Consider the following 26,254-nt stretch of genomic DNA (forward strand, 5'->3'; position numbering starts at 1 on the left):
TAAGATGATTTGCGGCCGGGCGCGGTGGCTCACACCTGTAATCCCAGCACTTTGAGAGGCCGAGGCAGGCGGATCACGAGGTCAGGAGATGGAGACCATCCTGGCTAAGACGGTGAAATCCTGTCTCTACTAAAAACACAAAAACTTGGCCGGGAGTGGTGGCGGGTGCCTGTAGTCCCAGCTACTCAGGATGCTGAAGCAGAAGAATGGTGCGACCCCAGGAGACAGAGCTTGCAGTGAGCTGAGATTGCACCACTGTACTCCAGCCTGGGCGACAGAGTGAGACTCTGCCTCAAAAAAAAAAAAAAAAAAAAAAAAATGATTTGCTTTTCTCTTATGGGATTTTCTGGGGGAAGAAATGGTATACAAACTGAACAAATAATTTAAATTGCTGCTTGAAATGAGAGCGACAGTGGCTGAGTATCTAACCTCTGCCTACTGGCTACTTGAGAACATTTCATTCTCTTGCCAATTTCCCAAAAAGGTCATTTGTGAACAGTGGAAGCCAGTCAGCCGTGACGTGGACCAGTCAGCATCTTTCTCTGAGACATACAGGGCCTTGCTAAGGCCGCATGGAGGAGGCTCGAGAACATGCCTCATGGAGGTCAGCTAGGGCCTGGGTTCAAATCCCAGCTCCTTTACTTCAGAGAGCTGGGCAACCCTGTTGAAATTTTCTTTTCCTTTTGAGACAGGATCTTGCTCTGTCTGTCACCCAGGCTAGAGTACAGTGGCTGATCATAGCTCACTGCAACCTTAAACTTCTGGGCTCAAGGGATCTTCTCACCTCTGCCTCCTGAGTAGCTGGAACTACAGGCATGCCTGGTTAATTTTTTTATTTTTTGTGGGGTCTCACTTGGTTGTCTGGGCTGCCTTGTTGAAATTGTCTAAGTTTCAGTTTCCTCACTCATAAAATGGGGATTAAATTAATACCTGATGGCCCAGGACTGAAACTCACAAAAAATGCCCAGAACACAGCAAGTGCTCAAGAAACACAAGCAGTTGAACTCCTCCCGGCCCCAGAGCTCAGCAGTGCATGCCAGTCACTCACCGGCGCATATGGGGGGCTGTACTCTCTGTACTTGCGGTGACCTTTCTCACTGGGGCTGAAATCCGAGTCATCTGAGAAGTCAGAGAAGTCATCGCTAGAAGAAGCATGGCGCTGTAATGACAGGGGAAGGAGACTCAGCAACCTGCCACAGGCAGGCCACTCGGGCACAGTCAGCCTCAGGACAAACTATGCTGGCATGTGCCGCAGGGCTCTGCGCTTCACCTGAAACACCTCACCTGGGGCACTTAGTGGCAATGAAGCATAAGCTACCAACTCTTTTAAAAAAGGTCTTTATCCAATTTGAGATAAGCAAAGGCATTAAGAGTGCCCTCTGGGGTGGACAGCAAAAGCTCAGCCCCTGGGGCTCTCAGCCAGGCCCAATGCCAGGCAGTGGCAGTCCCAGGGGATCTCCGACCTACTTTGTGCTTGGATTTCCTCCTCTTCTTCGACCTCCTTTTCTCTTTCTCCCGCTCTTTCTTCCGTTTCCGCTTCAGTCTCCTGTGGGACTTCTCCTCATCCGAATCACTGTGATGCTTCTCCCCCTTTTCTTTCCGGCTTCTCTCAGGCCCTCCGGAGGTATCCTGGGTCTCCTCTGCCCCATCATCTTCCAATTCACCTTCTTCCAACTCTCCATCTTCCCTACAAACAAACCCCAATCCCACCATGAACACAGGGTTTGAGAGGAGACCTCCTAGGGCTCTGGGCTGGCCAAGGCTGACAGGAACCGAAGGCCTGACTGCTGTGAGCGAAGTGAGACCCTGGGAGGACATGGGGGCCATGGCCTCTTGTTCCATCCCTTATCCTCCCCCTGAAAGAACTGTGCTTGCTCCAGTCTAACCTGGCTGGGGGAGGGGTAGGAGTTTAAGGGCATTACCACTAACACCGGGACACATCTACGCCAGATTTCCCAACAGAACTAGTGTTCTTAGAAGAAGAAACCGACAAGGTGCTGTGGTCACATAAGCAGGAAGAGCCCCATCTTGGGGATTCATAATGCTTAACGCTGCACAACTTCCAGGAAGCCCCATAGTCCAGAAACCCACACAGCTCTGCTGTGAAGCACTTGGGGCACTTCTAAACCTTGCTTGACCACAGAAGTCTCTCTCCCAGGGAGCACAGACCCACATCCCCTCCCTCCCAGGCCCAGGATTGCCTGCTGGGCCCCGGGCCCCAGTGAGCTGGGCGTCAGTGCCACCTGAGGCTGAGGGCGGTGGCTGTGCACCGTGGAGAGGGCCTTGGTTCTGAACCAGGGGTGGCCCCAAGCTACCTGGGACCCACCCACAGGCAGGCCTGGGCTGTGGCCTGAGAACCCTCCAAGTACTTTATTACAAAAGCCCCATGAGAACCGCTGGAAACAGGCTCAGAGTCCCAGGTCACAAGGTCTGACCCACCCTCGTCAGTCCCACACCTCTAGGCCGGAGGCAAGCAAACACTGAGCAGCTGGAGGAGGGGGGACGGATCCCAGGCCCCTCCTGAGGGCCTCACATGATACCGGCCCTGCTTTCTCTCCCTCCTCTGACTCACCTCCAGATAGTGGAACCCCTTCTGGCTCCCCATCCTACACTCTTCCAATTCCCCCGTGTCACCCCAATCTCCAGGACTTTAAAAGTGCTCTCCAAACATGACAGACACTGCCCAGTGGACATTCTGCATATGTAAATATCTATGGGGTGGGGTAGGAGTGAGGAAGAAATTGGGTTCAGGAGGGGGAGGCTGGAAAAAGAATCCAGTTTTTGAGCCAAACCCACAGACACAGTGTTCACAAGTACAGGAGTTGGTAAAGGAAAAAAACAATCTTTTTGAATAATTTTAAAAAGCTCCCAAAGTTCCCCATGAATGACCACAAAAAGGCTTGCGTGAGAGCATCCAACTCCTTCCGTCTCAATTAACTAGGACACAAAGAGAAGTGATGTAAGGAGGAAACATCACGAGCCCAGGCCCCAAAAGGTTAGCCACAAATGGAGCTATCTCTGCGGAAAGGCCCGCAGCTGCCCAAGCGGGAGCCAATGTATTAGGCGTGCTTGCCTGAAGGTTCCAGGGCATGTGGCAGACTCCTCCTCCCAGGACCCTCCACTGTCCTTTCGCTTATGTCCCTCCCTTTGTCTGCCTTGGGGCTGCTACCCAAACATCAAGGAGCGCCTCAAGAGCAGCTTTTTCTATGAACTCTCACTCCCAGTTCAAAGGGGATGGGTTCTATTTCAAACCCAAGTGGCCCAGCCCCACAGATACCCCTGGGCAGAGGTCAAGGGCAACTCTCAAAACAGAATGCAGGACACAAAACTCTTTCTGCTGCTTCAAAGTCAACAACACAGGTGACCTGACCCATGTGCACCTTGTGTTGCTTCCCCGACTAGCAAACTTGGAATGGGGCGGGGGTGCAGGCTGCAGTCCTGACAAGGGAGGTGCCTTCCCGCTGGGGTGCGGCCCACAGAAACCAGGCGTGGAGCAAAGTCCTCACTGGACACCTCACCCACACCGAAAAGGGCCACATGACTGGGAAAACTGGTTTTGTCCCAAGGGAGAAGCTGTTACTCAGTGACATGGCAAACTGCCCGCCGCCAGGAGCTGTGCAGACACTGGGAGGTGGCACCCTGATGGGAATACTGGGGGCAGGCCAGGGCCACACCTCAAGAGAAAGGGAGAGACGGACAGACTGAGCGGGAGAAGGCCCGGGACAGACTGGAGGTATACATGCTGGGGTTCCATAAAGAAAAGCTAAGAACAACATTACTCTCGACACTTAAGTCTAGAAGGGATAAAGCTGAGAGGGACATGATCACCACCCAGGCCACTAATATTTTAAATGCCATATCTGTGCCAGGTTGCTTGACTACCTCCTTTTCTGCACTGACAAGAAACTTGGTCCACAAGGCAGGTGCCTGATCATCAGGGCTGGGTCAGCTGAGCCGGAGTGGGTGGCAGCCTCAGCACGCCCTCCCTTATGTCCAACACCGCGGCACAGCAGGCGACAGTCTTGCCCAGGGTCAGCTGAGGCCTCCTTCCCTGTCCTGATGCCACTCGCTGGCTCGGACGAAGGTACAGGCTACTCTACATCTAACACCTGCGGGCAGAGGACAAAAGACCATTCAAGGAACTCCAAGAGCCTTAACCATCATCCAGAATGATTCTAGAAAGGAATCACCAAGGTAGAGAAGTGCAGCATTCAAATTCACCCTACAAAGACCTGAGCCAAAGAGGGATTCTGCACATTATCGATATTAACAGCTCCAGGCACATCTGGGCTCAAAGAGAATCAACCATACAACTTTTCACAAAACAGGCAGTGACTACTTGAAATTTTGTTTCCCTAAAGTTGAGAGAGGCAGAGAAATACATAGGATTTTTTTGTTGTTGTTAAACTGCTGACGGTTGATAAAGGGGCACTGAGACAGCAACAATAAACAGATCACTGCATTCTCAGGGCCCTCTGGCCATGTCAGGCCCTCAAGCCCCTCCGAGCCCTGGGCTAACTTCTGTCCACAGTCACCTCAAGGGGTCCCCCCTCACGACACCCAAGATGCTCTCCTAGCTAAACGTCCTGCGTGAACACGAGGTCTTGACTATATTCTTCAGACTCTGTTCAACAGAAAGCAAAAAGAAAGGAAGTCGAGCCAAATGGGAATCCCGTGGGCCACCAGCGCGACGGCACAAAGGCGGTCTCAACAAAACAGCAACCAGGTTTCAGCGATGCCACTTAACAGACTGCCGGCAAAATCCGTGTCAGAGTGGGATTAAATGCCAAGGGAACATGCTTAATAGACCTCGACATAATCCCCCAAGAAAAGTGGGGGAAGCCCCACCGCGCTAATCATTTCAATCTAGACCTGCCAAACTCTCTTGAGACAAGCAAGCAGGAGAAAAGCCTGCCGTGGCGGCCTGTGCAGGGAGCACTCTATTCCCAGAGCCTGGATTGGCAACGCCTGACATGGCTGCACTCGGTCCGCTGCCCAGAGCCCTCGGGAACAAGAAAGCAACCACCCTGGGAGACCGACTTGGAACTGGCCCCCATGAGGAAATGGGAAGAGGCCAACGCCTTGCCTTGAGCCAGTCCTGCCCCGTACCTCCCGGACAAAGCTCCCGGGTATTTCGGTTCCCATTTTCAGCACTGGCTGCTCCTCCCCCTGGTCAAAGAACAGATCTGGACGCCCACTCTAAGGAACAGGCCAACTCCACAGGGCCCACAAGGATGCTGGGTTCAGCACACACCACGGACTTGGCAAAAACAGTGCTTGGTAAAGACATTTCATGTTCAGACCGGGTGTGGTGGCTCATGCCTTCGGGAAGCCAAAGCAGGCAGATCACTTGAGGTCAGGAGTTCGGGACCAGCCTGGCCAACACGGCAAAACCTTGTCTCTACCAGTAATACAAAAATTAGCTGGGCGCGATGGTGGGTGCCTGAAATTCCAGCTACTCAGGAGGCTGAGGCACAAGAACTTGAACCTGGGAGGCAGAGATTGCAGTAAGCCAAGATTGTGCCATTGCACTCCAGCTTGCGAGACAGAGTGAAACTGTGTCTCAAAAAAAAAAAAAAAAAAACTAATCCCAGCACTTTGGGAGGCCAAGGCAGGCAGATCACCTGAGGTCAGGAGTTTGAGACTAGCCTTGCCAACATGGCGAAACTCCGTCTCTACTAAGAATGCAAAAATTAGACCAGTGAAGTGGTGGGTGCCTGTAGCCCCAGCTACTCAGGAGGCTGAGGTAGGAGAATCGCTTGAACCTGGGAGGCGGAGATTGCAGTGAGCCAAGATCGCGCCACTGCACTTCAGTCTGGGTGACAGAGCTAGAGACTCGGTTTCAAAAAACAAAACAAAACAAAAGATATTTCATGTCCAAAGTAGACATGATATTTCAAAGGAGATATTTCATACTGCCTCATCCAGCAGCCTACAGATTCGGGCCTCATGCTCCTTTCTGCAGACCAAGTAACTCAACCAGCTCCACCTCTTCTCTGGAGTATGCTCTTAGTCTGTAACCTGAGCCTTGCTTTTCTGATCTACTGAATGGGATAACAGCAGCACCTATCTCAAGGGCTGTGAAGGTTAAATGAAATAATAGGGATAAAGCCCTTGACATGAGGAACAGGCACAAAGGAAGAAGCAGCTGTTGGTTTTAAAAACCAGCTAGCATGAGGGCATCTCTCCACGGAAAGCCCTAACTGGCTGGAATGCTAAGTGGGAAGCATGTTCTCTATAAGAAAGCTACAGCCAGGGCCGGGCGCGGTGGCTCACGTCTGTAATCCCAGCACTTTGGGAGGCCGAGGTGGGCGGATCACCTGAGGTCGGGAGTTCAAGACCAGCCTGACCAACATGGAGAAACTCCATATCTACTCAAAATACAAAATTAGTCGGGCTTGGAAGAACACGCCTGTAAACCCAGCTACTCGGGAGGCTGAGGCAGGAGAATCACTTGAACCTGGGAGGCGGAGGTTGCAGTGAGCCAAGATCACGCCACTACACTCCAGCCTGGGCAACAAGAGTGAAACTCCGTCTCAAAAAAAAAAAAAGAAAAAAAGAAAGCTGCAGCCAGCTCTCCCTGACGGACACTGCTGACTGCTGGTCAACAAGTTCTTTCTACTTGGTCACAACCACACATACACTGTTCTCCCAAGCCATCCTGCTGACAAAACTGACAAAAGCAACATCTCCCCTTCCTCAGCTCTAATCTAGGCAGTACCAGAAGCCACCAAGTGGCTAATCAAGACAAAAAGGCGTAGGGAGAGCTGAGCCCCGGGAAGGAACAAAGGCTTCTTACAGAAATGAAGCTTGGCAACATGGCAGCTCTCTAGACAAGAGGGTTGGACGAAAGCTGAAAGGGGCCCAGGGTTTATGGATCAACCTGGTTTACAAGAGTTTAAAAAAAAAAAAAAAAAAAAAAAGGCAAAGTACAACACAAAAGATGGAAACTCATGGGAACAGCAGCGGTTACCTTAAGATCATGAGAGCCCTTGATAAGAGGCGGCTAGGTTAATGTGAAGGTCAGGGTTATGATCATTAACTGCCCAGACTCTCAACAAATTGCCTGGGTAGGCTCTGAATGACCCATTAACTAGGGACAAAATCACAAAAATTACAAGGAGGCGCCGCCTCTTCAAATATTTAACAACCAGCCTAAATGCAGAAGTCCAGGATCCCCAAGTCCGATTCTGCGGACTAGTCGTTTATTAGGATTGAAGGCGCAGGGCCTTTGCTTCAGAAATTCAGCTCAGGGCTCATGCCAAAGAAAGGCCCGAGACCTTCCCTTGAGTTAGGACGTAATGAAGCAGCCATAGGGGAAACCTCACGGAGGGATTTTCAGAGCCAGGAAATTCTTGAAATAAACCTCTGGGTCTTGCACATGCTTTTCAGTGTCCTTACTACCTAGGTTCATCAACCAGAAACCAAGAACAAATGTGCTCTGTCTCCTTTTCTTCAGCATTCTCAGGTGTCATCATAGCCTGCTCTGTGACATCATGCCATTTCCATGGTAACGTGCCTACGCCACGGCAACCACCCAAGTGAGACACAAAACTGGCAAAGAGAAGTCCAGGCATCAGCATCTGTACCCTGTACCCTACACCCTCACTTCAACATAAGACAGTCTACCCACTGCTGGCATCTAGATACGAAGACACCTACTGGTGGATGTGACGATAGGAGAAATTGGAGCCATCTGAACCCAGCCTGGGTATTTGAGATATTAATTGTTAATCTTGTTAGAAATGAGTTTTGTAGAAAGGTTTTTTGTTTTGTTTTATTGTCTTTTCTTTTGAGACGGGGATCTTACTCTGTCGCCCAGGCTGGAGTGCAGTGGCGTGATTTCGGCTCACTGCAACCTTCGCCTCCTGGGTTCAAGTGATTCTCATTCCTCAGCCTCCTGAGTACTGGGATTACTGACACCTGCCACCGCGTCCAGATAATTTTTGTATTTTTAGTAGAAACAGGGTTTCGCCATGTTGGCCAGGCTGGTCTCGAACTCCTGACCTCAGGTGATCCGCCTGCCTCAGCCTCCCAAAGTGCTGGGATTACAGGTGTGAGCCAACACACGCGGCCTGTAGTTATGTTTTTAAATAATCATAAAGTTAGAGATTCATACTGAAGAATCTACAGGTATAGGCCAGACACAGTGGCTCATGCCTGTAATCCCAGCATTTTGGGAGGCCAACAGGCGGATCACTTGAGCCCTGGAATTTGAGACCAGCCTGGGCAACATGAGGAAACCCCATCTCTACAATAAATACAAAACTTAGCCTGGCAGCATGTGCTTGTAGTCCCAGCTACTCAAGAGGCTAAGGCGAGAGGATCGATTCAGCCAGGAGGTCGAGGCTGCAGTGAGCTATGATTGCACCACTGCCCTCCAGCCTGGGCAACAGAGTGAGACCCTGTCAGACTGCTTGAGCCCAGGAGTTAGAGACCAGCCTGGGCAACACAGTTAGACCCCGTCTCCACAAATAATTTAAAGACAGGGTCTCTCTATGTTGCCCAGGCTGGTCTTGAACTCTTGGACTAAAGCCTGCCTTGGCCTTCTCCTGCCTTGGCCTCCCAAAGTTCTGGGATTAGAGGCATGAGCCATTGCACCCAGCCTCTATAAATAACTAAAAAAAATTTTTTTTCCATAATAAAAAGTTAAGAAAGAAAAAAGTTCTGGCCAGGTACGGTGGCTCATGCCAGTAATCCCAGCACTTTGGGAGGCTGAGGCGGGCGGATCACTAGATCAGGAGTTCGAGACCAGCCTGACCAACGTGGAGAAACCCCATCTCTACTAAAAATACAAAAATTAGCTGGGCGTGGTGGCGCACGACTGTAATCCCAGCTACTCAGGAGGCTGAGGCAGGAGAATCACTTGAACCTGGGAGGCAGAGGTTGCAATGAGCGATCGCACCACTGCACTCCAGCCTGGGCAACAGAGCAAGACTCTGTCTCGAAAAAAAAAAAAAAAATTAGCCGGGCATGGTGGCACACGCCTGTAGTCCCAGCTACTTGGGAGACTGAGGCAGGAGAATTGCTTGAACCCATGAGGTGGAGGTTGCAGTAAGCTGAGACCATGCCATTGCACTCCAGCCTGGGTGACAGATTGAGACTTCGTCTCAAAAAAAAAGAAAAAGAAAACAAGAACTTCCAAGTGGGACAACTCAGCAATGTGAGGAGAGGCTGCAAGGTCCCCAAGCAGTTATTTAATAATTTCCCAGCAGAGAGCTGGAATCTGGGCTTGCAGGCCTCCACACTCCTCACCAAGGCCTAAACAGGCTCAGAGACAAGAAGGAATTTGCCCATGGGGTCACAGCAGGAAGAAGCAGAACTAGAAACTAAGTCCAGTACTTTTGGATGCAAAGACCAGCTCTTAACCTCTACAAATTATTTGACAACTACAAATTATGTCAAAAAGAGTAATTTGCTAAACAGGTCAACTGACAAAACAACGCCCACCCTGAAATGTATAATCGAGTAGGGAAAAATAAGATATACATACATAAAACAGACTTCATGAATCAGTATTCCAAGAAATGCCAGAATGAGGTACCAAGACTTTGGGCAAATTCCTTAAACACTCTGCACCCCAGTCTCCATAACTGTGCAGCACAGGCAACCATGGAGTCCCCAGGATGGTGTCATGGGAGAATCCCATGAGGCCATGTAACACAAGCACTTAGCAGGAACCTTGCCCAGAATAAATGCTTAGGAGTAAAACCTACCCAAACACAAAGACACAAGGCCGATACGGTCCTTCCAATATCAAGTGAAGGAAATGGTAGCATTTCAAAAACCTAACCAAAGACATCTGGATAGAGAATAAGGGCTCATGGAAAGACCGAAGGAATTCTGGCAAAAAAAAAAAAAAAATAGGACTCATCCCAACACAAAGAGAAAGCAATACAAAAATCCCAGGGAGTGAAATTCCAAAGTCCCCTAATATGAAACGAATGCCTTCGCCCCCAAGTGTGCAGTGTCCACTCTGGGGTTTGTCCAAGCATGCAAACCACTTAGGCAGAACATTTCTGTAAAGCTTCAAACAGGCTGACCGTGAAAAAACCCAGCCTGCTAAAAGGAAGCTTGTGGAGACAAAGATGCCATTTTTTTTGCCTGAGTATCTATTCTTCCACTCCCACGAGCTCTGAAAATTTGCATTCTTGAGCAAAGGTATCTATCCCTCAGATCCAAGTTACTCCTGGCAGATGAACCTCTGGAATTTGCTTCTCAGCAATGAAGAGTTTTCTAACCACCTTCTCATGCCAACTAAGCTTCAGATGGTTTAAAGCTGCAAAGATCATGGTTTTCATCAGAGGACCGATTTCTATCACTCCAGAGGAGAAAGTCTAATAATTTAACTTATGAACTAAGACTTCTCTTTGTTTATAATTATTTATTTATTTATTTCTACACAGGGTCTTGCTCTGTCACCCAGGCTGGAGTGCAGTGGTGTGATCATTGGTTCAATGCAGCCTTGATCTCCTGGGCTCAAGCAATCTTCCCACGTCAGCCTCCCAAGTAGATGGGACTACAAGCATGCACCACCATGCCCAGCTAATTTTTGTATTTTTTGTAGAGACAGGGTTTCAGGCCGGGCGCAGTGGCTCATACCTGTAATCTCATTACTTTGGGAGGACAAGGCAGGCAGATCACTTGAGATCAGGAGTTCGAGACCAGCCTGGCCAACATGGTAAAACCCTGTCTCCACTAAAAATATAAAAATCAGCCCGTTGGCCGGGCACAGTGGCTCATGCCTGTAATCCCAGCACTTTGGGAGGACGAGGCGGGCGGATCACGAGGTCAGGAGATTTAGACCATCTGGGCTAACATGGTGAAACCCCGTCTCTACTAAAAAAAAAAAAAAAAAAAAACTACAAAAAAATAAGCCAGGCGTGGTGGCAGGCGCCTGTAGTCCCAGCTACTCAGGAGGCTGAGGCAGGAGAATGGCATGAACCCGGGAGGCAGAGCTTGCAGTGAGCTGAAATCGTGCCACTGCACTCCGGCCTGGGTGAAAGAGCGAGACTCCGTCTTAAAAAATATGTAAAAATAAAAATAAACAAATAAATAAGAGATCTGGGCCTAAGATTCTTGAGATTTGTTCATATACCACCTAAAGAATTTCTTAGCCAGGCGCAGTGGCTCACGCCTGTAATCCCAGCACTTTGGGAGGCCAAGACAGGTGGATCACCTGAGGTCAGTAGTTCAAGACCAGCCTGGCCAACATGGTAAAACCCCATCTCTACTAAAAACACAAAAATTAGCTGGGTGTGGTGGCGCACACCTGTAATCCCAACTACTCAGGAGGCTGAGGCAGGAGAATCGCTTGAACCCAGGAGGCAGAGGTTGCAGTGAGCTGAGATCATGCCATTGCACTCCAGCCTACGTGACAGAGTAAGACTCTGTCTAAAATAATAATAATAATAATTTCTTAAAAAGAACTGATACAACCTATTCGTTAATTTCTAGTCACCTGTGGGTTCCTTAAGGGCAGACAAGAATGAGGTTCACAGTAACCCCACATTTCCAAGGGCCCAGCACAGGGCCAGGTACAGATTGGGTACATGCTCAGTGCATATTCTATATGAAGTATCAATCTCAGCTCTCATACCCTTTTGGTCAATTTCATCAATAGAAACAGTAACTAATTTCCAAGAAAACTTTTTCAGCAACCTGTATCACTTAAAACTTTGACACAAACTCATTCAAGTGTTTATCAAGGGTTTCCAAATAAGCTTGAAAGTGATGGATGCACAGACTGAACAGAGGAGACAGGCCCTGCCTCGGATGCAGCCCACCCGTGTGGCCCACAAGCTTCAGTTACTGTGACTGCTCTCGTTCCCCGTGGAGTGGCAGGGCCTGCCTGGAATCCCAAGGAAACCTAAGCCCTGGTGTCTGTTAGGAAAATGAGGAGGGCAATAATCCAAGCCACCTGCAACAGACTTTTGGCCAAGCGACACTAGCGTCTGGGCCCAGCTCCCTCGGTTAGGCCATAGCAGGGATGTAATGGCCATGATCCACTTCCACACGGGACCTCAAGAAGTCTCCAGTTACTTCTAATGAATGAAAATCCCTTCCATTTAAGAGGGTTTAAAAGCCTAGGCTTGGGCCTCTACATTCACTGAAAGGAGTGGAACGCAGGGAGAATGGAGCCACAGTGGACTGAGGAAACAGTTAACACCCCCACCCTCTCGAGGGCCAACTTTAAATGGAATATCTATATTCCCTCCTCATTCCTTCCCACCACAAAAAAAATGACAATGGCTGCTGTGCAGGCATACCAGACAGTGCATACCATATCACGTGGTGGGCAGCAACTTTCTACTCAACTCTGCTGCTGTAACGTAGAAGCAGCCACTGATGATATAAATGAATGAGTATGGCTGTGTGCCAATAAACTTTACCTACTGGCCAGGCGCGGTGGCTCATACCTGTAATCCTATCACTTTGGGAGGCCAAGGAGGGTGGATCACTCGAGGTCACGAGTTCAAGACCAGCCTGGCCAACACGGTGAAACCCCATCTCTACTAAAAACACAGAAATTAGCTGAGCATGTGGTGTGCGCCTGTAATCCCAGCTACTCAGGAGGCTGAAGCAGGAGAATCCCTTGAACCAGGAGGCAGAGGTTGCAGTGAGCCAAGATCATGCCACCGCACTCCAGCCTGGGTGACAGAGCAAGATTCTGTCTCAAAACAACACAAACCAACAAAAAAACACTTTACCTACAAAAACAGGCTGGGTGGGCTGGCTTTGGCCCGAGAATCATAGTTTGCCGACCCCTAGCCTGGATGCAACGGCTTTCACACTTTTTGACACTGACCCACATCTGCTTCTTTGCATTTCTCCCAAACAAAAGTTTCCAGAAGCCACATTTAAATGCATTCTGCTTTTTCTCTCCTCTTCCATTTCCTTGGTTTTCCAATGCAAAAGAAAAAGATCAATAATTGGACTTCATATCCCACTAGTGGCTATACCCCACAGTCTGAAAAATAGCACACCAGATCCACCACAGTATAATGGTATGTATAGAGATGGGGTCTGAGTACCAGCCACCCCGGGTTCTAACTCTGCCTGCAGCACACACTTGTTTTGTGACCTGGGACAAGTGACTTCACCTCTCTGTTTTGGTTTCTCCTCAAACAGCAGAGGTAAAGGTTAAATGAGCTAATGCATGAGAAGCACTCAGAAGGGCTCTGGCAGATAATCTTTGACCTTCAGGTCAATTGTGCACAAATGGCACTGTTGCCCCTTCGGAAAGACAAAGACACTGACTTAGGAGATGAACTCAAGAATCACATCCAGTTTGCCTAACTCCCCCAACCATAGCTGTCCACCACCCATCACTCTCAGCAGAGGGCCAATCCCGTGTGGAGAGAACATGGCAGCACCCAGGCAGACATGGTGGCTTATACCTGTAATCCCAGCACTTTGGGAGGCTGAGGTGGAGGATCATTGAAGCCAAGAGTTCGAGGCTGCAGTGAGCTATTAATACTATGAGGTGCCACTGCATTCCAGCCTGGGCAACAGAGCAAAACCCTGTCTCAATAAAAGAGAAAAAACAAAGCTTTTGGCTCTGGAGTTCACTCTATCCTTTCTGGGACAACTGACAGGCATGACCAGGAACCTGATGGGCCTGCCTGTGATCTAGCCACTGAGCCTAACCTTCAAATTAATTAAGGCATCTGCTTTCCAAGTGCATATTAGTAAGCTGCAAGCAGCAGCAGCAACCCTTTATCGTGGCCAGAAACTGTAGAAGGTAGGCCAGACACAGAGGAAGGGAATACGAAGCCTGGTAAAGGCAGTAACAACCCTAGCCCGACTCTAAATAAAGTCTTCATGATAGAAGGGTTCTCTGCACACTCAGAAAACTCTTGGGCTCCAAGAAAAGCCGGGGAGGAACTCAGTTACTGAATGAACAAAACCTTATCTGACTCAGCCAGATCCCAAAGGAGTGAAGAATCCTGGAGCTGGATGAGACCTTGTTCATTCCCCTCTGGAGAGAGTAAAGGACTTGCGTGGGGAAACTGACTAGTTTGCAGTGGTATGAGATTCTAGATCCCTGGCTTCCCAGTTCTCAGAAGCCCTACTGAGACTACAGCACTGACTCGGACTCTAATTGCAAAAGATGAACACAGGAGGTACAGTCAGCATTAAGCTCCAGACAGTATGACCATTTGAGCATCCATAAAAAGACACTGAGCAAGCAAGAAATATCTTAAGATGGCTTCCACTTAGTGTCAACCCCAATTGGCTCCCTGCAATTAAATAAGCTGACCAGAACCCTAAGAGATGAAAGATAAATGCACTTCCTTCAAAAATAGATGTTATTCTTACTTCTGTTTATACACCAACTGTAAAAGTTCTGTTTCAAATTCTTCTCTAGTAGGGAAAGCAGGAAGATTCACTGAATGCTGGCATTGTGTGGGTGTCCCCAAATGCACTCATTTGACCACAAGGACCCTGAGAAGTGGGCATTTTATACTCGATGCCTACTGCACACTGCCGGGGAGAAGCCAGGCCTGAACAGTTTTATCTGGCTCCAAAGTCCACAGTCTTCCTCCACATCCTGTTGCCACCTCCGACATTCAAAAAGATGTCACCACTTGCCTGACAAACAGGGCACTGAGTCACCTATTCACACAGATGCGAAATGGCAAAAAAAATACACGAGAAAGATCCTTTATGCAGACCAGTTTGGCCAGAAGCAGCAAACTATGCTCTCAGCAAATAATCCTGCGTTCTGTTAAGAAAAAAAAAAAAAAAAAGTAACAGGACACAACTAAATCTAGCACCAACCAAGAGGCCGTATCTTCATTTTTGTCAACAACTACTAAGAGTCACCCCAATGGGTGATGTGCCAGAAATCTATTTAAAATAAACTGCCTATCGCACCTCATTACATCACCAGTGAAACTGTACACAATGTCTTCAAAACTGCATCTGCATTAACTCCTAAAAGCAAAAGCGTTCTGCAGCAAAGACAAGGCCAAGAAACTGGGAGTCAAACCCATGAAGTTTGGCTCCCCCCAATCAATCTCATTTTTACTTTAACTTATCCCCATGAACTTGACATGCCACCCAGACAAACTGGCAGCTTTTCCATCCTATTAGGTTTTAATTATGAAACTGGCTTCATACCATGTTATTCGGAGAGGAGTCCCTCCACCAATGAGGCTGCTCCTACAGTCTCTGATCTGCTGAATAAATACCAATTGCCAGAAATCTCAGGAGTCATCCTTTTTTCTTAGCTGTGCTGCCAAGGCACAGGTTAAGCGCCTGGCTCAATTCAGCTACTTTGCTTGCTATTCACTCTGTCACTCAACTCTCGGTGTGAATCGGACCCAGTTGCTCTGGCACTAGAATTACTGTTCGTGGGGACCAAAATTAAGTTCTCTAGAATCTGGTTTGACTTGATAGCTATCCACGGAGACCTGGAAATAGTTTCATTAGCAATTTTCACCAGAGGTATTTACTGTAACTGGATCTGACCTCTATGGAGAGATGTTTCTACAGGCCCAATAGCCATAAAAATGTAACAAAAGGAAGTGAAGGACCCTCAGACAGCCATTTCTCTCCCATCAGGGAAGAAGGTAAAAGATCTAAGAGCAAGAAGCAGAGGTGTAGGCACCGTTAAATAAATTACTAACCAGGCCCAATATGAAATTGCTCTACATTCAACTGTATGGAAACGCAAGAGTCAAAACCGTTCATCTTTAACTTGCCAGGCAGTTGAACAGCCAGGTCCACAGGTACAAAACAATTCTCCCCTGGGATCAGCCTTCCTGGCTGTGGAAAAACCACAGCAGTGGCTTACTAAAATAGCTGGCTCTACTTAGAGAAAACTATGGCTTATAAAGAAATCAAAAATTTAAACCTTCAGAGCAGAGCAAAATTGTACCTGGGGGAGAGGACAGGCCATGAATTAGTCATTTTGGGGAACCGCATTTTTTTCTTTTAAAGAGCAAATTTGAGGGGAATTAAAAAAATAAAGGAGTTTTAAAAAATAAAGGGGTTTTATGACGAGAACATCCATATTTCCATGGTCACAACAGACTTTTTTTCTACTAGGAGACTTTGATTTGCTTTCAAGTTAAATCTCTCACCCAGAGAAAATAAAAATGTAAAAGTTTGTAAGTGTATAATAAGATTTGTTATTAAATCAGGGATTCTGAGTGACACCCTTTTCTTTTTTTTTGCAACATCCATTAATTTGATTTTTAACTAATACTGGTACATCAGTCTGGGGGGAAAAAAGGCAGTACTGTGACATTTCAAAAACAGATTACCAAAATACAGTTTTTGACTTAATTACTGGGGCTTCTAGGTCTTAATGGATGAGATTTCTTTGAGAATGGAAAACAATAAACCGTTGTGTTGACATGCCTGTGAGCTTTTTAAATGCTTGGGGAAATAGTTTCAAATTCACTGAACATTGCTAAAAAATTTCACTTACAAAAGAAATCTCATTTCCTTAACGTTTCTTTTTAAAAGTCAATTTAAATAAGCAACTTAGTAGCCTTTGGAACTTGGGTCATCAGTCATCCAGTTTCTGTTCTCAGCTCCTGGAGAAAGAATTTTACAAAGGATGGGAAACTTCAAATAAGTGCAATTCATTTTGGGCTGACCCAGTGCCCTGGATAATGTGTTTTGTTCGGTTCGTGCTTCAGACATTTCTTGCAGGATATCGTAGTTTGGAGATTTCTTCCTCCCGTAACTGATTTTACATACCTAGGATCACCACTCTACGGCAGTTGTGAACATATTAAGAGGAAGAAAACAAGTGGCCTATTGAATTGCAGTTTCCTCATCTACATGTGCGTGACCTTTTTTCCTTGTAAGAAGGAAAAAAACAAAACGGTTCTTTTGGAGAGGGCCAGGGTTCTCTAAGTATGTCAGGGATCAAAAGTGGGAAACTGGGAAAATGCAACTTCAACGTGTTTTGTCTTTTAACGGAACTTATGCTTGTAAAACACATCAGAAGTACAGTGTTTGGTTCTGCAAGTCATTTCTGTTGTTGTTTTTTCCTTGTTACGTGGAGGCCGGGGGGACTGGGGGCTGGAGGAGGTGTTCCCTCCAACATGACTGGGCGTGTAACACGTTTGCATCAACTTTTCACAGTCAGACATGTGCTTTCGAACAAAGGAGCAGTGGAGACAGGCAGAGATGGGGGCTTGACACAGTTTACAGATTTTGTGCTTCAACAGTACTTTACAAATGACTTGCTCAATTTTAACGTCCATCACCACAAGAGACATTGGAGTAAAATGAGAAAATTGGAGCTACTTGAACCAATCTTTTTTGGGGAGTGGGGGGGAGGGGAACCATTAATTTGAATACCTGCATCATAAATCAAATCCAGTAAGCTTGTCTCCTACAAATGGACTTGAAGTATCCACTTTCTTCAAAGATGAAGGCTGGAGACAAAGCAATGGATTGAAATGGAAAGAAGGATGCCAAGGGTCTGAAAACATACGGGCCTTTTACATCGATTTTTGTCATGTTACAGTAACACACTTTTTTTTCTGAGAAAACTGTGTACGTCAAATTTTAAAAATTAAACATTGAAAGGATGTGCAAGTCTAAAAGGGCTCAACAGGGTTAGAATCCTGATTCGAACATATCAATTCACTCTCAAGCATCACTTTGGTCTAAAGGCGAGGAGGAAGGCAGGCAGTAAAGGGAGAAAAAGAGGGAGATCATTGAATTACTCAATAAAAGAGGCTACTTACCATCCCAACCCATTGTAAGACATACACTTCTGACATAAGAGAACTCCTTAGAGGTCGAATAAAGCGTGTAAGCACCTTTGAGTAATGCACCTGCCCCCGGAGAGGGGGCCCGGAAGCCCAACGAGGGCTTAGCGAACAGACCTTTGCTAATCTGTTTATTTCCTTGAACTGGAGTCGGGCTGCGATGGGCTGCGATTCCCAGGACGATACATTTAATTAGAACAAAACAGAAAAAAAAAATGTTGTAAAAGCTCACCAAACTGCTGCACTTGTGTCTCTGAATGTGGGTGGCATTTCTTTTAAAAGGCAAAGTATGGTCTGTGAAGGAGAAAGGGGAAAGGGGAGGTGGGAGTGGGGAGAAGGGGTCGTACGTACAGCCTGGCAAGGGAAGCCCTGGCTGAGACCCCCCGGCTAAGGAAGGGTCCTCAGCGGCTCCCCAGCCAGGGCTGCGACGGAGTAGCCATCTGTCCAGAGCGTTCTCTTCCCCTCTCCACCCCCATTCCCTCCAAGACTCGCTTTCCTGCCGGCTGAAACCCACCGTCCGTGTCCAAACCTACTCTCCAGCCGCCTCTTCTCTCGCCCCACCAGGAAACAGTGGGCGAACCCTGCACCCCAACTCCTTCTGCTCGAGCAGGGGAAGGAAACGGGGCCCCAACCTCGCCCTGAAACGCGCCGGGCTGACCCCATTATCACCCGCCAGCCAGAGAAGGGCGTGGGGGGCCCGCGTTTCGGACTTAATAAAGAGAAGGGGGCGCTTCCTTTAACGCCCTGCCAAAGCACAAGGAAATCTCCTTTTCTCTCCCGGAAGAGACGGTGCCCCATTTTACCCCGACAGAGGGGGGAACCCCAGGAGAAAGCGCGGGACCAACTTCCTCTCCCTACAAGGCAGGGAAACCAAACCTTACCCCCGCAAAACAAGGCTGAGAATCCTCCCTCACGTCACCTACCTACGAAAAGCGAGAGGACCCCTGCCCTTTAGCAAAAACACGGGGAAGAGTCTTCTCTAAAAAAATAGGCTGGGGTTTTCATCAAAAGGGCTGGAGATGCATCTCCCCCCTCCCCAATTCGGCCTTCTAGGGGATAGCTAAAAAACACCCCCCGCCAAAAAATACAAGTGCTATAGAGCACCCACCCAAATGACCCCCAATTACAAGGATGGAGAAGGGACCTGAATGAACCCCCACCTTCTGCCTCCTAAGCTAAAGTACCTATCATCCAAGTAGGACAGGGTGTGCCTCCCCCAGGAGAAAGGATACTGCCGGGGGCTGGGAGACCCCCAACCCCAAACCCCTAAGAGCGGGGCTGTTGTTCGAGATCCCCCCAAAAAGGGTCCGGAGCCCCTCCCCCATCCCCTTCCCCGAAGCCAGGCGACGGGCAAGCGGGCCCGTAGCTGCCAGCTCCGGGCGCAGGGGCAGCCAGGACCCCCGTGGGTCTCCGCAGCACCCCCCACGGCGCCCCCTCCCCAGGACAGGCGGACGGGCGCGGGGGGTCCGAGGGGCGCCTCCTCACCTTCCCCTCAGCATGGCGCCCAAAAAAGACAGAGCGAGAGCGAGGGAGAGCGGGCGAGCGCCGCGAGGGGGGGGAAACGCATGAGGCCGGGAGAGAAAGCAAGCGAGAAAGAGCGAGCGAGCAAGCGATCGAGAGACACCCACCGACCCCGCCCTTCCTCCTCCTCCTCCTCCTCCTCCTCCTCCGCGGCCCGGCCCAACATGGCGGCCGCCCCCCTTCCTCCTCCTCCTCTTCCTCCCCCCGGGGACGCAGCCCCGGCCCAACCGGGGGCCTGACCTGTCGTCAGGGAGCGGGAGGCGGTGGTGGAGGAGGTGCGGGGTGGCCGGGCGGGCGTCGGGGGAACACGGAGGAGGCGAAGGCGTTGATGGCGGCGGCGGCGATGGCGGCGGCGGCGACTCTGATGGCGGCGGCGGGGGGGTCCCGGGCGCGGCCTCCATAGTTCCTTTGGGGGGGAGGGGATGTTAATGCACGAAAAAGGACTGCTTGGGCGTGGCGGGAGGGGCACACTTAAGCTCGGAGGGCTCCTGATGGGAATGGGGTATATATTTTTTCGGTTTCGGAATCACCTCTGCGCTGACCTCCGCGTAGGCCGCACGGCCTAGGCCTCGGAGGGCCGCTCGCCGCCTGCTTTCTCCGCAGCCCACCCTTGCGGTCACTCGCTCACTGGCGCGGGGCCCTCATAGGGGCGAGAGCCCCCCCCCCACGCACCCCCGGGGGGCGGGACACCCGGGAGACACGGACACTGGTGGGTGGTTGGGTGTAATTAGCGCGGGCCGCGCGCGATGGAGCAAGCGAAGGGTAAGGGGAGAAGAGGAGAGCGAGCGAGGGGGGTGGGGGGTTAAAAAGAAAAAAAGGATTTGAGGGAGAGAGGGAACGGGCCGCGGAGACGGGCCGACTGTCTCCCTTCTCTGCCCGCCCTGGGTGCCCCGGCTGCCCGGCCCCCGCCGCAATCAGGAATTGACACAAAATGGCGGCTCGGCCCGAACCAGCCTAGAGGCTGAGGCGGGAGGAAGGGTGAGATGGGAGGGGGAACTGAGAGGCGGAGGCGGAGGCCGTGTCACGTGCAGGAGAGGGGTAGAGACCGCTTGCCCGAAGGCCGGCGGAAAGAGCCGAAGGCAAAGGGCGAGGCCGAGGGGAGGCGGAAATAGCCGAAAGGAGCTGAGCAGGAGCGAGGAGGCGACGGGGGAGAGCCAGAAAGAGCTGAAGGTGGTGATATGGGTGGGGCTAGAGAGAGCATGAGAAACCTAGGGGAGCCATAAATAGCCTAAGCCGATCGGGACCGGGGAAGGAGGAGAAACTGAGACGGTCCGGAAAGAGCCGAAAGCGGTGTCCGGGTGGGTGGCAGGAGGTGGAAACAGCCGAAAGAAAAGCAGCCAGGGTAATGCGATTAAGAGAATGAGCTGAACGGGCGGGGCTGAAGGGGAGAATAAACGACTTTCAGGAATTCGCCGGAGAGCAAGAGGGAAAAACCGAAAATTGCTAGTTTGAAGGAAGGCGGGAAGAGCCAATAGTTTTAGGTGGGAGAATGGGAGGGAAGGAATTCAGGCTACGGAGAGGGAAAAAAAAAATAACCGAAAGCTGGAGGCCAGGTGCCGAGAGTCGGAGGTTTCCGGAGAAGCGATGAAGCCCAGCCAGCCCGGAGGTGACGTCACTCGACAACCCAGTCGATGATGTCATCATTGGATGCGAGAGGGGCGGGGCTTGGTAGTCCCTCAGGGGAGTTTAAGGACCTGGGGTGTAGGACCCATGGAAGGCTCTCAAATAGCAGAGCTAGAAACACTGGCCGGTGTCGTAGACTGTACAAACAAAATCTTTTGACCCTCATAACCGTCCTAACATAAGCTGCTGCTATTCCCATTTGCAGACTGAAGTTCGGTGTTTTAAGTAATCGGTTCACGGTCATAGGATTAGTTCTAAAAAGCACAGCAAGATTTTTTTTTTAAGAGACAGAGTCTTGCTCTGTCGCCCAGACTGCAGTGCTGTGACACGATCATACCTCACTGTAACCTCGAATCCAGGGATCTTCCTTAAATACTTGTTAGCTCTTTCTACAGTGCCAGTCCCTGTGATGGAGCATGGGAACAGTTTCTGTCTTCATGGAACTTAACCGATAATGCCCCAAGGGAGAGAAACAGAGTTAAAGAATAAAGGGGGTGGGTGGAGTGTTAGAGGAGGGTCTTGTAATTGTTCTTTTAGGCTGGTACATGAAAAAGAAGAGATGGTTCCAGGCAGAAGAAATACCTTATTTCAGGCGGGGCGATGTTGCTCACGCCTGTAATCCTAGCACTTTGGGATGCCGGGGCGGGCGGATCGCTTGAGCTCGGGTTGGAGACCAGCCTGACGAACATGGTAAAACCCCTTCTCTACTAAAAATACAAAAATTAGCAGGACATGATGGCTCACACCTGTAGTCCCAGCTGCTCGGGATGTTGAAGAGGGAGAATCGCCCGATCCCGGGAGGTCGCGAGGCTGCAGTGAGCCGAGATTATGCCACTGCACTCCAGCCTGGGCAACAGAGTGAGACTCTTGTCTCAAAAAAAAAAGAAAAGAAATACCTTATTTCAGGCCCTGACAAAGCAAAGACCACTTAGATTCCAGGAAGAGAGAAAAACCGTGTCAACAGTGATAAATCTGGAGACAGAGGCACCATGTGACTTCCTGGTATATTGATCCTACTTTTTTTTTTTTTTTTTTGAGGCAGAGTCTCGCTCTGTCGCCCAGGCTGGAGTGCAGTGGCGCGGATCTCGGCTCACTGCAAGCTCCGCCTCCCGGGTTCACGCCATTCTCCTGCCTCAGCCTCCCAAGTAGCTGGGACTACAGGCGCCCGCCACCACGCCCAGCTGATTTTTTGTATTTTTAGTAGAGACGGCGTTTCACCGCGTTAGCCAGGATGGTCTTGATCTCCTGACCTCGTGATCCGCCCGCCTCGGCCTCTCAAAGTGCTGGGATTACGGGCGTCAGCCACCGCGCCCAGCGGATCCTACTGTTTTTTAAATGTTCCAGCTGGCAGCGGGGCGTGGTGGCACACACCCATAATCCCAACACTTTGGGAGGCCGAGGCTGGCGGATCACTTGAGGTCAGGAGTTTGAGATCAGCCTGGCCAACGTGACGAAACCCCGTCTCTACTAAAAAGACAAAAAATTAGCCAGGCATGGTGTGGCGCGCCTGTAATCCCAGCTACTTGGGAGACTGAGGCAGAAGAATCGCTTGAACCTAGGGGGTGGAGGTTGCAGTGAGCCAAGATGGCACCACTGCACTCCAGCCTGGATGACAGAGCAAGACTCCGTCTCAAAAAAAAAAAAAAAAAAAAAAAAAAATTAGCCAAGCGTGGTGGCCGGCACCTGTAATCACCAGTTACTCGGGAAGCTGAGGGGAGAATCGCTTGAATCCGGGAGGCAGAGGTTGCAGTGAGCTAAGATCATGCACTCCAGCCTGAGTGACAGAAAGACTTTAATTAAATTAAATGTTGCAGCCGGCACAGTGGCTCATGCCTATAATTCTAGCACAGGAGGATTGCTTGAGCCCAGAGGTTCAAGACCAGCCTGGGCAACATCGTGAGACCCCAGTTTCTTCAAAAAGTCAAAACATGGCCGGGCGCAGTGGCTCACGCCTGTAATCCCAGCACTTTGGGAGGCCGAGGCGGGCAGATCACGAGGACAGGAGATCGAGACCATCCTGGCTAACCCAGTGAAACCCCGTCTCTACTAAAAATACAAAAAATGAGCCGGGCATAGTGGCGGGCGCCTGTAGTCCCAGCTACTCGGGAGGCTGAGGCAGGAGAATGGTTTGAACCCGGGAGGTGGAGCTTGCAGATAGCCCCACTGCACTCCAGCCTGGGCAACAGAGCGAGACTCCGTCTCAAAAAAAAAAAAAAAGAAGTCATAACATTAGCCCGGCTTCATGCTATGCACCTGTGGCCCCAGCTACTTGGGAGGCTGAGGCAGGAGAATCACTGGAGCCCAGGAGGTTGAAGGAGGTTGAAGCTACAGTGAGCTATAATCATGCCACTGTACTCCAGTGGAGACTTTGTCTCAAAAAAAATAAATAAATAAAAATAAAAATAAGGCCAGGCACAGTGGCTCACGCCTGTGATCCCAGCACTTTGAGAACTCTAGGCAGGTGGATCACGAGGTCAGGAGCAGCCTGGCCAACGTGGTGAAACCCTGTCTCTACTAAAAATACAAAAAAAATTAGCCGGGTGTGGTGGCAGTTGCTTGTAGTCTCAGCTACTCAGGAGGCTGAGGCAGGAGAATCGCTTGAACCCAGGAGACAGAGGTTGCAGGGAGCCGAGCTCACACCACTACACTAGAGCCTGGGTGACACAGCGAGAAGAAAATTCCTGACAAAATGCTTAAAATAAATCATCAGTGGATGAAACTTGTTTTAAGAAGCTGGTGCTCCCCCCACCATCCCACCTGGTACCCCAGTTGCCAGCCAAGAATTGTGTTACCTTTACCCTGACTATCGTCTTTCTGGATCCAATCTCAGATCTAATGGTTAGATAATTATTCTCTTCTCCTATAAAATGTCCCTATTAGAGTGAATCTTAATTGGCCAACAAGAGACCTTTTTTCCTTGCATGTAAGATTGTAATAAAATGTTCACTCATGCTCATAGCTATGTTGTCCAAAAAGTTTTCTTTAACACACCAAGAACTAATACTTCAGGTTTGTAGGAATGGAAAGGAAGGACACCAAAGTAGCTCACTATGTTCGATTGTGGATGGTGCCATTCCTTCCTTTACACCTTGATTTTTGGACCTCATGTATTCTGGGTTATGGACAAAATCACTGATTGAGAACATAGACCACATCTAAGAGGACAGCCATTGTCTTTTCAAGGTATGGTCCTGAAGGGGCCCCATCTCTGTAGTTTCAATGGGGCCATTCTACAATTCTAGATGGCCATCTGCTTTTAAGTAATGGGGAAAACAAAAATCCCACCAAGCAGGAATTCCCTGTACTTCTTCAGTGTCATGATGGAACATTGTGGAACATTGTCTGCCAAGCCCTTCTGACACTTCATCTGACTTTTTTATTTTTATTTATTTATTTATTTATTTTTATTTTTTTGAGACAGAGCCTCGTACTGTCACACGGGCTGGAGAGCAGTGGCACAATCTCGGCTCACTGCAACCTCTGCCTCCAGGGTTCAAGTGATTCTCCTGCCTCAGCCTCCCAAGTAGCTGGGATTACAGGCGCCCACCACCATGCCCAACTAATTTTTTGTGTTTTTAGTAGAGACGGGGTTTCACCATGTTGGCCCTGCAGTCTCACACTCGTGACCTTGTGATTCGCTCGCCTCGGCCTCCCAAAGTGCTGGGATTACAGGTGTGAGCCACCGTGCCCTGCCTGTTTAGTTAGTTTTTGAGACAGAGTCTCGCTGTGTCTCCCAGGCTGGAGTGCAGTGTCGTAATCTTGGCTCACTGCAACCTCTGCCTCCCAGATTCAAGCAATTTTCCTGCCTCAGCCTTCCGAGTAGCTGGGACTACACGCGCACGCCACCACACCTGTCTAATTTTTTGTATTTTAGTAGAGATGGGGTTTCACCGTGTTGTCCAGGCTGGTCGAGAACTCCTGACCTCAGGTTATATCCACCTGCCTGGACCTCCCAAAGTGCTGGGATTACAGGTGTGACCCACCGTGCCCTGCCAAGTTTTTTAGTTTTTGAGACAGAGTCTCGCTCTGTCTCCCAGGCTGGAGTGCAGTGGTGCAATCTCGGCTCACTGCAACCTCCGCCTCCCAGGTTCAAGCGATTCTGCTGTCTCAGCCTCCGGAGTAGCTGGGATTACAGGCATGCACAATGCCTAGCTAATTTTTTTTTTTTTTTTTGAGACCGAGTTTCACTCTTGTTGCCCAGGCTGGACAATCTCGGCTCACCACAACCTCCGCCCCCCAGGTTCAAGCGATTTTCCTGCCTCAGCCTCCTGAGTAGCTGGGACTACAGGTACGTGCCACCACGCCCAGCTGATTTTTGTCTTTTTGGTAGAGACAGGGTTTCACCATGTTGGCCAGGATGGTCTTCATTTCTTGACCTTGTGATCCGCCAGCCTCGGCCTCCCAAAGTACTGGGATTACAGGCGTGAGTCACTGCGCCCCGCCAATCTCGGCTCACTGCAAGCTCCGCCTCCCGGGTTCACGCCGTTCTCCTGCTTCAGCCTCCCGAGTAGCTCGGACTACAGGTGCCCATCACCATGCCCGGCTAATTTTTTGTATTTTTAGTAGAGGCGGGGTTTCACTGTATTAGCCAGGACAGTCTCGATCTCCTGACCTCACGATCCGCCCGCCTCTGCCTCCCAAAGTGTTGGGATTACAGGCGTGAGCCACTGCGCCCGGCCAAATTTTTTGTATTTTTAGTAGAGATGGGGTTTCACCATGTTGGCCAGGCTGGTCTTGAATTCCCGACCTCAAGTGACCCGCCCCGCCTCGGCCTCCCAAAGTGCTGGAATTACAGGCGTGAGCCACCGCGCCCAGCCTATTTATTTTATTTATTTTATTACTTTTTTTGAGACAGAATCTCACTCTATCGCCCAGGGTCGAGTGCAATGGTGCAATATCGGCTCACTGCAACCTCTGCATCCTGGGTTCAAGCGATTCTCCTGCCTCAGCTTTCCCAGTAGCTAGAATTACAGGCGCCTGCCACCACTCCCAGCTCATTTTTTTTTTTAATTTTTTTTATTTTTAGTAGAGCTGAGGTTTCACCATGTTGGCCAGGCTAATTTCGAACTCCTGACCTCAGGTGATCCACCCGCCTCAGCCTCCCAAAGTGCTGGGATTACAGGTGTGAGCCACTGCGCCCAGCCGGCCTATTTATTTATTTATTTTGAGACGGAGTCTTGCTTTGTCGCCCAGGCTGGAGTGCAGTGGTGCAATCTTGGCCCACTGCCACCTCTACCTCCCTGGTTCCAGCGATTATCCTGCTTCAGCCTCCCATGACTTTTTTTTGTTTTTTTAATTTTATTTTTTTCTGAGACAGAGCCTCGCTCTGTCATCCAGGCTGGAGTGCAGTGGTACAATCATGGCTCACT

At 49.7% G+C, this 26,254-nt stretch overlaps 1 protein-coding gene across 13 annotated transcripts in view, besides 13 other annotated features; it reads right to left on the bottom strand.

Moving 5' to 3' along the window:
- ZC3H4 (zinc finger CCCH-type containing 4) overlaps positions 1–20,855 on the bottom strand; it is a 49,590-nt gene extending 28,735 nt beyond the window's left edge. For 2 of the 13 annotated variants that reach the window (XM_017026530.3, XM_006723113.4), the window contains exons 1-4: positions 19,793–20,855; positions 19,503–19,668; positions 1,468–1,687; positions 1,049–1,159 (exon numbers count right to left, since the gene is read on the bottom strand). In XM_017026530.3, the coding sequence (XP_016882019.1) occupies positions 1,049–1,159; positions 1,468–1,687; positions 19,503–19,663 (492 nt within the window). In that variant the 5' untranslated portion in view covers positions 19,664–19,668; positions 19,793–20,855. Of the gene's footprint in view, positions 1–1,048; positions 1,160–1,467; positions 1,688–3,882; positions 6,929–6,973; positions 7,427–17,717; positions 17,954–17,973; positions 18,036–19,226; positions 19,338–19,502; positions 19,669–19,792 lie in introns of those variants that run through there. The other 11 variants (XM_047438516.1, XM_005258678.3, XM_047438515.1 and 8 more) reach the window with 8 other exon arrangements.
- Positions 661–920: an enhancer, noted in NCBI's record as "active region_14853". NCBI's record gives its function as "activates an Ori minimal core promoter by ATAC-STARR-seq in GM12878 lymphoblastoid cells {active_cell/tissue: GM12878}" and the evidence as "EXISTENCE:reporter gene assay evidence [ECO:0000049][PMID:35858748]".
- Positions 1,351–1,460: an enhancer, noted in NCBI's record as "active region_14854". NCBI's record gives its function as "activates an Ori minimal core promoter by ATAC-STARR-seq in GM12878 lymphoblastoid cells {active_cell/tissue: GM12878}" and the evidence as "EXISTENCE:reporter gene assay evidence [ECO:0000049][PMID:35858748]".
- Positions 1,883–2,072: an enhancer, noted in NCBI's record as "active region_14855". NCBI's record gives its function as "activates an Ori minimal core promoter by ATAC-STARR-seq in GM12878 lymphoblastoid cells {active_cell/tissue: GM12878}" and the evidence as "EXISTENCE:reporter gene assay evidence [ECO:0000049][PMID:35858748]".
- Positions 2,343–2,392: an enhancer, noted in NCBI's record as "active region_14856". NCBI's record gives its function as "activates an Ori minimal core promoter by ATAC-STARR-seq in GM12878 lymphoblastoid cells {active_cell/tissue: GM12878}" and the evidence as "EXISTENCE:reporter gene assay evidence [ECO:0000049][PMID:35858748]".
- Positions 16,847–17,574: an enhancer, noted in NCBI's record as "H3K27ac hESC enhancer chr19:47613025-47613752 (GRCh37/hg19 assembly coordinates)". NCBI's record gives its function as "activates a minimal SCP1, AML or CMV promoter by ChIP-STARR-seq in primed H9 embryonic stem cells {active_cell/tissue: H9 hESC(primed)}" and the evidence as "EXISTENCE:reporter gene assay evidence [ECO:0000049][PMID:30033119]".
- Positions 16,977–17,214: a silencer, noted in NCBI's record as "fragment chr19:47613155-47613392 (GRCh37/hg19 assembly coordinates)". NCBI's record gives its function as "represses an EF-1alpha promoter that drives an FKBP-Casp9 reporter gene in an ReSE screen in phorbol 12-myristate 13-acetate-treated (for megakaryocytic differentiation) K562 erythroleukemia cells {active_cell/tissue: K562(+PMA)}" and the evidence as "EXISTENCE:reporter gene assay evidence [ECO:0000049][PMID:32094911]".
- Positions 19,032–19,760: an enhancer, noted in NCBI's record as "NANOG-H3K27ac-H3K4me1 hESC enhancer chr19:47615210-47615938 (GRCh37/hg19 assembly coordinates)". NCBI's record gives its function as "activates a minimal SCP1, AML or CMV promoter by ChIP-STARR-seq in naive H9 embryonic stem cells {active_cell/tissue: H9 hESC(naive)}" and the evidence as "EXISTENCE:reporter gene assay evidence [ECO:0000049][PMID:30033119]".
- Positions 19,128–19,617: a silencer, noted in NCBI's record as "silent region_10837". NCBI's record gives its function as "represses an Ori minimal core promoter by ATAC-STARR-seq in GM12878 lymphoblastoid cells {active_cell/tissue: GM12878}" and the evidence as "EXISTENCE:reporter gene assay evidence [ECO:0000049][PMID:35858748]".
- Positions 19,761–20,488: an enhancer, noted in NCBI's record as "NANOG-H3K27ac-H3K4me1 hESC enhancer chr19:47615939-47616666 (GRCh37/hg19 assembly coordinates)". NCBI's record gives its function as "activates a minimal SCP1, AML or CMV promoter by ChIP-STARR-seq in primed H9 embryonic stem cells {active_cell/tissue: H9 hESC(primed)}" and the evidence as "EXISTENCE:reporter gene assay evidence [ECO:0000049][PMID:30033119]".
- Positions 19,761–20,527: a biological region, named in NCBI's record as "NANOG-H3K27ac-H3K4me1 hESC enhancer GRCh37_chr19:47615939-47616666".
- Positions 19,868–19,957: a silencer, noted in NCBI's record as "silent region_10838". NCBI's record gives its function as "represses an Ori minimal core promoter by ATAC-STARR-seq in GM12878 lymphoblastoid cells {active_cell/tissue: GM12878}" and the evidence as "EXISTENCE:reporter gene assay evidence [ECO:0000049][PMID:35858748]".
- Positions 20,368–20,527: an enhancer, noted in NCBI's record as "active region_14857". NCBI's record gives its function as "activates an Ori minimal core promoter by ATAC-STARR-seq in GM12878 lymphoblastoid cells {active_cell/tissue: GM12878}" and the evidence as "EXISTENCE:reporter gene assay evidence [ECO:0000049][PMID:35858748]".
- Positions 20,768–20,997: an enhancer, noted in NCBI's record as "active region_14858". NCBI's record gives its function as "activates an Ori minimal core promoter by ATAC-STARR-seq in GM12878 lymphoblastoid cells {active_cell/tissue: GM12878}" and the evidence as "EXISTENCE:reporter gene assay evidence [ECO:0000049][PMID:35858748]".

This window comes from Homo sapiens, chromosome 19 (assembly GCF_000001405.40).
Source record: "Homo sapiens chromosome 19, GRCh38.p14 Primary Assembly".
NCBI classification, from domain to species: domain Eukaryota; kingdom Metazoa; phylum Chordata; class Mammalia; order Primates; family Hominidae; genus Homo; species Homo sapiens.